Source organism: Homo sapiens, chromosome 1, assembly GCF_000001405.40.
Source record: "Homo sapiens chromosome 1, GRCh38.p14 Primary Assembly".
Classification (NCBI taxonomy): domain Eukaryota; kingdom Metazoa; phylum Chordata; class Mammalia; order Primates; family Hominidae; genus Homo; species Homo sapiens.
Window position 1 is genome coordinate 46,790,229 of NC_000001.11, and position 8,520 is coordinate 46,798,748.

General features: G+C 41.2%; 1 annotated feature.

Annotated features, from left to right (window-relative positions):
• Window positions 489–989: an enhancer, noted in NCBI's record as "H3K27ac hESC enhancer chr1:47256389-47256889 (GRCh37/hg19 assembly coordinates)". NCBI's record gives its function as "activates a minimal SCP1, AML or CMV promoter by ChIP-STARR-seq in naive H9 embryonic stem cells {active_cell/tissue: H9 hESC(naive)}" and the evidence as "EXISTENCE:reporter gene assay evidence [ECO:0000049][PMID:30033119]".

Here is an 8,520-nt window from a genome sequence, read left to right on the forward strand (position 1 = left end):
TGTCATGTAAATATTAAATACTCCTATGATAGCCAATTTCAAGCTGCTAATGTGACACCAAACCTAGAGTTGGGAAGTGATATACACAATCTGCTCTTGAGAGCCAGTGCCAGCCTGTTCAGTACACTAATGGACTGGGGGCCATCTACAAGCCTTTTTTTTTTTTTTTTTACAGTTGAAGTTTTCTATGGGACTCTTAAAGGAAGAACTAAGACTACTGGGTGGAAGCTTCCAAGAACTTTGGCTTCCACAAATCACACTGCCAAGATGGTCAGGGTATGTAGCTAGTAGGATCAGGACCTGGGAGTTGACTGAAGCCTAGCCTCTGGCTCTGGTCACATGATGACTTGTTTTTTGCCCTAAAAATGTGGGTGGCTGCCAGATTTCAGCCAAGGGGTGGAGAGCAGGGTGTATGGAAAATAGATCACGAGTGCTGGGCTATATTTCTGGCAGGAGAAGGTATGTAGGACCTCTGAGGCACAAGCAACATCCACCCTGCTCATTCTCCCTCTGACTTCCTCTCCCTGCCTGCCAATCCACACTGAGCTCCAGCCCCCTTGCACCCCACCAGCCTTGACTCATGCCTTCTGCCACCTCCCTGTCCAGGTTTGTCATCTTCCACAAAGATCAGTGCATTGATAGCTTCCTCTCTCCTCTCCAACCCTTCTGCAGGCCCCACCCCCACCAGCCCAAGTCATTGCACACATACAGAGGAGGTGATCTTTCTGGACCTCACCTCTGATCACCCTTGTCTCTCTGCTTAAGGCCCTCTCCATGGCCCCCTGCAGCCTAGAAGACAAAGTTTAGTCTCCTTACCCCTCTATGCTAACCCTGCACTTGACACTCCAGTTTCCTAACATGTTCCTCTCCTTTGTGTTTTCTGCTTGATAATGTCTCAGATATCTGCTTCTTCTCTAAACTATGCCCCTCACTTTCACCATATCCAGATTATTGCTTGCTCCTATCTTATGGAAGCTTTGCCCAGGCTAATACCACTTAGAACTTCTCTATGAACTCCCTCAGTATTTCCCAGGCAAGCCCCACTGCTCAAAATGTACCAAGATAATCCCACTTGTCCCTTCCCAGGTTAATTTCATTCAGTTTGTCCCAAGCTAACCCCCTAAATATGTTTCAGCCCAATTTAGCCAAGGCTTTCTCATTTTCCCAGGTTTTCCCTAGTATATCACATAGAAATACTTTGGTTTCAAGCAGCAGAAAACCCAACTCAGATTGAATTTAAACAAAGGCGATTTGTTGGTTCATGTAATTAAGAGTCAAAGCGTTGGCCTAGGCAAAGAATTTATGACTAAATCCTCAAAAGTAAATGCAAAAAAAAAAACAAAAATTGACAACTGGGACCTAATTAAACTAAAGAAACAACAAAAGAAACTATCAGTGGCCAGGCGCAGTGGCTCATGCCTATAATCCTAGCACTTTGGGAGGCTGAGGGGGGCGGATCACGAGGTCAGGAGATCAAGACCATCCTGGCTAACACAGTGAAACCCTGTCTCTACTAAAAATATAAAAAATTAGCCAGGCGTGGTGGTGGGCACCTGTAGTCCCAGCTACTCGGGAGGTTGAGGCAGGAGAATGGCATGAACCCGGGAGGTGGAGCTTGCAGTGAGCCGAGATCGCGTCGCTGCACTCAGCCTGGGTGTCAGAGTGAGACTCCATCTCAAAAAAAAAAAAAAAAAGAAAGAAAGAAACTATCAACAGGGTAAGCAGACAAGCTACCGAATGGGAGAAATATTTTCAAGCTATGCATCCAAAAAAGGACTAATATCCGGAATCTATAAGGAACTTAAATAAATCAACAATAAGCAACCCCATTAAAAAGTGGGCAAAGGACATGAATAGGCACTTTTCAAAAGAAGACACACAACTAACTGAGAAGCATATGAAAATGCTTATCATCATTAATCATCAGAGAAATGCAAATCAAAACCACAATGAGATGCCATCTCATACCAGTCAAAATGGCTATTACCAAAAACTCACAAAATAACAGGTGTTGGCAAGGTTGTAGAGAAAAGGGAACACTTACACACTGTTGGTGGAAATGTAAATTAGTTCAGCCACTGTGGAAAGCAGTTGGAGATTTCTCAAAGAACTGAAAAAAGAATTACCATTGACCCAGTAATCCCAAAGGAAAATAAATTGTTCTACCAAAAAGATATCTGTACTTGCATGTTTATTGCAGCACTATCTGTAATAGCAAAGACTCAATGGAATCCACCTAGGTGCCCATCAGCAGTGGATCAGATAAGAAAAATGTGGTACATATACACCATGGAATACTACACAGCCATTACAAATAATGAAATCATGTCCTCTGTGGCAACATGGATGCAGCTGGAGGTCACTTTTTTAAGTGAATTAATGCAGAAACAGAAAACTGCATGTTCTCACTTATAGGTGGGAGCTAAACACTGGGTACAAATGGACATAAAGAGGGAAACAACAGCCACTGGGGACTCCAAAGGTGGGGAGGGAAGAAGAGCAGCAAGGGTTGAAAAACTTCCTATTGGGTACTATGTTCACTATTTGGGTCATGGGTTCAACTGAAGCCCAAACCTCAGCATCATACAATATAGCCATGTAACAAATCTGCACATGTTCCCCCGAGTCTAAAAAATAAAATGAAATAAAATAAAATGAAATAAAATAAAATAAAAAGTGAAAGGTAATTCTAGCTTCAGGTGAAGCTTGATCCAGGAGTTCAAACAATGTGACTGATATTTAGTTCCTTTTAGTATGTTTCTCAGTTCTGTTGCTATGGTGTTGAGTACATTCTTGTCTGCCTCTTTCCACATTGATGGCTTCTGAGATTACATGCTCTAGGATCGAATTCAATATTAAAGAGAGAATCTGTTTCAAGATAGCTTAAATTAAATACTGGAAATAGATTTCATTCGCCCTGATTGGCTGACTTTGTTCGTGTGCCTATTCTTGAAAGAATCAATTATTGTGGGCAAGATGAATGCAGACTATGTTAAATAAATATAAGACCATACTGGAGTTGAGGGTGAGGGCAATCTGAATGCACCCAAGGCTTGCAAATTCATGGTACTGGGTGGAAGGGGGAAGCAAGGAATGGATGCTGGGGAGTCATTCAACTGACGTCCACTCTACCCACTCAACATCTTCTAGGCTAACCCTATTCCCTTCCCAGGTGAATCCTATGTGGTCCTTGCCAGGAGCCATGGCTCTTTCATCAGGTGGGAGCCCATTTAGGCTTTCCCTGAAACACTCCATCATATGACCAGGCTGAAACTATGCTGATAAATGAATTCACCATCAAGAATGGAATTCTGCTGATAGCTCATCATGTTTCTTTATTCTCTGACTCAAGTGACTTGCTTTTTAAAAATTTTTAAAATATACTTTAAGTTCTAGGGTACATGTGCACAACGTGCAGGTTTGTTACATATGTATACATGTGCCATGTTGGTGTGCAGCACCCATTAACTCGTCATTTACATTAGGTATTTCTCCTAATGCTTTCCCTCCTCCCCCCGCCACCTGACAGGCACCGGTGTGTGATGTTCCCCATCCTGTGTCCAAGTGTTCTCATTGTTCATTTCCCACCTATGAACAAGAACATGCAGTGTTTTGTTTTCTATCCTTGTGATAGTTTGCTCAGAATTATGGTGTCTAGCTTCATCCATGTCCCTACAAAGGACATGAACTCATCATTTTTTATGGCTGCATAGTATTCCATGGTGTACATGTGCCACATTTTCTTAATTCAGTCTATCATTGATGGACATTTGGGTTGGTTCCAAGTCTTTGCTATTGTGAATAGTGCTGCAATAAACATACGTGTGCATGTGTCTTCATAGCAGCATGATTTATAATCCTTTGGGTATACACCCAGTAATGGGATGGCTGGGTCAAATGGTATTTCTAGTTCTAGATCCCTGAGGAATCACCACACTGACTTACACAATGGTTGAACTAGTTTACAGTCCCACCAACAGTGTAAAAGTGTTCCTATTTCTCCACATCTTCTCCAACACCTGTTGTTTCCTGACTTTTTAATGATTGCCATTCTAACTGGTGTGAGATGGTATCTCATTGTGGTTTAGATTTGCATTTCTCTGATGGCCAGTGATGATGAGCATTTTCTCATGGGTCTGTTGGCTGCATAAATGTCTTCTTTCGAGAAGTGTCTGTTCATATCCTTCACCCACTTTTTGATGGGGTTATTTGATTTTTTCTTGTAAATTTGTTTAAGTTCTTTGTAGTTTCTGGATATTAGCCCTTTGCCAGATGGGTAGATTGTAAAAATTTTCACCCATTCTGTAGGTTGCCTGTTCACTCTGATGGTAGTTTCTTTTGGTGTGCAGAAGCTCTTTAGTTTAATTAGATCCCATTTGTCAATTTTGGCTTTTGTTGCCATTGCTTTTGGTGTTTTAGTCATGAAGTCCTTGCCCATGCCTATGTCCTGAATGGTATTGCCTAGGTTTTCTTCTAGGGTTTTTATGGTTTTAGGTCTAACATTTAAGTCTTTAATCCATCTTGAATTAATTTTTGTATAAGGTGTAAGGAAGGGATCCAGTTTCAGCTTTCTACATATGGTTAGCCAGCTTTCCCAGCACCATTTATTAAATAGGGAATCGTTTCCCCATTTCTTGTTTTTGTCAGGTTTGTCAAAGCTTAGATGGTTGTAGATGTGTGATATTATTTCTGAGGGCTCTGTTCTGTTCCATTGGTCTATATCTCTGTTTTAGCACCAGTACCATGTTGTTTTGGTTACTGTAGCCTTGTAGTGTAGTTTGAAGTCAGGTAGCATGATGCCTCCAGCTTTGTTCTTTTGGCTTAGGATTGACTTGGCAATGTGGGCTCTTTTTTGGTTCCATATGAACTTTAAAGTAGTTTTTTCCAATTCTGTGAAAAAAAGTCATTGGTAGCTTGATGGGGATGGCATTGAATCTATAAATTACCTTGGGCAGTATGGCCATTTTCATGATATTGATTCTTCCTATCCATGAGCATGGAATGTTCTTCCATTTGTTTGTATCCTCTTTTATTTCATTGAGCAGTGGTTTGTAGCTCTCCTTGAAGAGGTCCTTCCCATCCCTTGTAAGTTGGATTCCTAGGTATTTTATTCTCTTTGAAGCAATTGTGAATGGGAGTTCACTCATGATTTTGCTCTGTGTTTGTCTGTTATTGGTGTATAGGAATGCTTGTGATTTTTGCACATTGATTTTGTATCCTGAGACTTTGCTGAATTTGCTTATTAGCTTAAGGAGATTTTAGATTTTGGGTTGAGATGATAGAGTTTTCTAAATATGCAATCATGTCATCTGCAAACAGGGACAATTTGACTTCCTCTTTTCCTAATTGAATGCCCTTTATTTCTTTCTCCTGCCTGATTGCCCTGGCCAGAACTTCCAACACTATGTTGAATAGGAGTGGTGAGAGAGGGCATCCCTGTCTTGTGCCAGTTTTCAAAGGGAATGCTTCCAGTTTTTGCCCATTCAGTATGATATTGGCTGTGGGTTTGTCATAAATAGCTCTTATTATTTTGAGATACATCCCATCAATACCTAATTTATTCAGAATTTTTAGCATGAAGGGCTGTTGAATTTTGTTGAAGGCCTTTTCTGTATCTATTGAGATAATCATGTGGTTTTTGTCTTTGGTTCTGTTTATATGATGGATTACATTTATTGATTTGCATATGTTGAACCAGTCTTGCATCCCAGGGATGAAGCCAACTTGATCATGGTGGATAAGCTTTTTGATGTGCTGCTGGATTCCGTTTGCCAGTATTTTATTGAGGATTTTTGCATCGATGTTCATCAGGGATATTGGTCTAAAATTCTCTTTTTTTGTTGTGTCTCTGCCAGATTTTGGTATCAGGATGATGCTGGTCTCATAAAATGAGTTAGGGAGGATTCCCTCTTTTTCTATCGATTGGAATAGTTTCAGAAGGAATGGTACCACCTCCTCTTTGTACCTCCGGTAGAATTCGGCTGTGAATCCGTCTGGTCCTGGATTTTTTTTGATTGGTAGGCTATTAATTATTGCCTCAATTTCAGAGCCTGTTATTGGTCTATTCAGGGATTCACCTTCTTCCTGGTTTATTCTTGGGAGGGTGTATGTGTCCAGGAATTTATCCATTTCTTCTAGATTTTCTAGTTTATTTGCATAGAGGTGTTTATAGTATTCTCTCATGGTAGTTTGTATTTCTGTGGGATTGGTGGTGATACCCCCCTTCATTTTTTATTGCGTCTATTTGATTCTTCTCTCTTTTCTTCATTAGTCTTGCTAGCGGTCTATCAATTTTGTTGATCCTTTCAAAAAACCAGCTCCTCGATTCATTGATTTTTTTGAAGGGTTTTCTGTGTCTCTGTCTCCTTCAGTTCTGCTCTGATCTTAGTTATTTCTTGCCTTCTGCTAGCTTTTGAATGTGTTTGATCTTGCTTCTCTAGTTCTTTTAATTGTGATATTAGGGTGTCAATTTTAGATATTTCCTCCTTTCTCTTGTGGGCATTTAGTGCTATAAATTTCCTCCACACATTGCTTTAAATGCATCCCAGAGTCAAGACCCATCAGTGTGCTATATTCAGGAGACCCATCTCATGTGCAGAGACACACATAGGCTCAAAATAAAGGGATGGGGGAAGATCTACCAAGCAAATGGAAAACAAAAAAAGGCAGGGGTTGCAATCCTAGTCTCTGATAAAACAGACTTTAAACCAACAAAGATCAGAAGAGACAAAGAAGGCCATTACATAATGGTAAAGGGATCAATTCATTAAGAAGAGCTAAGTATCCTAAATATATATGCACCCAATACAGGAGCACCCACATTCATAAAACAAGTCCTTAGAGACCTACAAAGAGACTTAGACTTCCACACAATAATAATGGGAGACTTTAACACCCCACTGTCAACATTAGACAGATCAACAAGACAGAAAGTTAAACAAGGATATCCAGGAATTGAACTCAGCTCTGCACCAAGCGGACCTAATAGACATCTACAGAACTCTTCACCCCAAATCAACAGAATATACATTCTTCTCAGCACCACATCGCACTTATGCCAAAATTGACCACATAGTTGGAAGTAAAGCACTCCTCAGCAAATGTAAAAGAACAGAAATTATAACAAACTGTCTCTCAGACCACAGTGCAATCAAACTAGAACTCAGGATTAATGAACTCACTCAAAACCGCTCAACTACATGGAAACTGAACAACCTGCTCCTGAATGACTACTGGGTACATAATGAAATGAAGGCAGAAATAAAGATGTTGTTTGAAACCAATAAGAACAAAGATACAACATGACTTGCTTTTTAAATGGTGCACTCAATGTCTCGATCCTATAAAATGAAGCACAAATGTGAAATTTCAGGAAGTGTGACAGACCAATGGAGAAGACACTTTTGGAGTTCTTTCATTGTACTCTCTTCTTGCTTTCTCTGCCTATGGGTAAGATTGGACATTATGTCTCCCCAGCAGAGGAGGAGGCTTGGTCTCTTGTGCCAGAGGGGATAAGGCAGCCATGTTGATGGCTTATCATTCTCTGAATTAGAACCTGTGATCTGAGTTCTGAGATTTGAGATCCAAGTCCACCTGATTGCTGGTTTTTTTCCTGCCACCTCCCTGCCAGACTGTCCTTGCTCTTATCTTGCTGGGAGGCTGACTTCTGCAGACTGACTCCCCAGGCTCCTTGCCATTTCACTTCTGATTGGCTTGGCTGATTGGAGACACTAGTAGGAGATGGGAGATGGCAGATGAAAGAGTTTAGGACATTTTTGCTCTGTTCTTCCACTGTTCCAGCATCACTTCTCTCGCACTAGCTGTGTTCCCCATAAATACAACCCCCACCAAGCTACAGGATCATGATTTTCTTCCCTTCTTCCTTTAGTCCTGGGGTATTGATGCATTTCTTGTTGTTTCAAGTCTCTGCATGCCACATCATATCTTGTTTGATTTCTTTAATCTGCCTGCCTCTGCAAATAACATACCCTCCCCAGGCAAGGCAGTGGTCTGAGCCAAACTTGTTCTTCCACAGAAGCCTGGGCTGTGGCACTGGGAGCTGCCAATTTCTTGCTGTGCAACTTTGGATATTTCCCTACCTCTCTTGAGCTTAAGTGGCTCCATCCAGCCAGGAGGGATTGAATTTGATGACCTCTCATCACCCTGAAAGTTCTATGTTCCTAAGTGTCAAAATGGCACTATTGTTTTAGGGGTGGAGTTGGCCCCTTTCTGACCTGGTATTTCCCTTTTGGGGCTAGAACCTTGTCTCTGAAGGTGCCTCACAAAAAAGAACTCAAAGCATTGCGAGCCTAGCATAAATGCCAGCTCTCTTAAGGGTTCACATTGAAGGGGACACTGGAAGCTTTCTTGAGAGAAAGCATAGGCAAGCTGAGCCTCAGCTTCATTATCTGGGAAATGGGTATAAAATGTGAGTGCCTCTGACCTCCTTGCTGTTTGGGTTAAATGAGATAGTATGTAAAAAGTGCCTGAAACATTCACAGTGCTTGTATGAGAAGACAG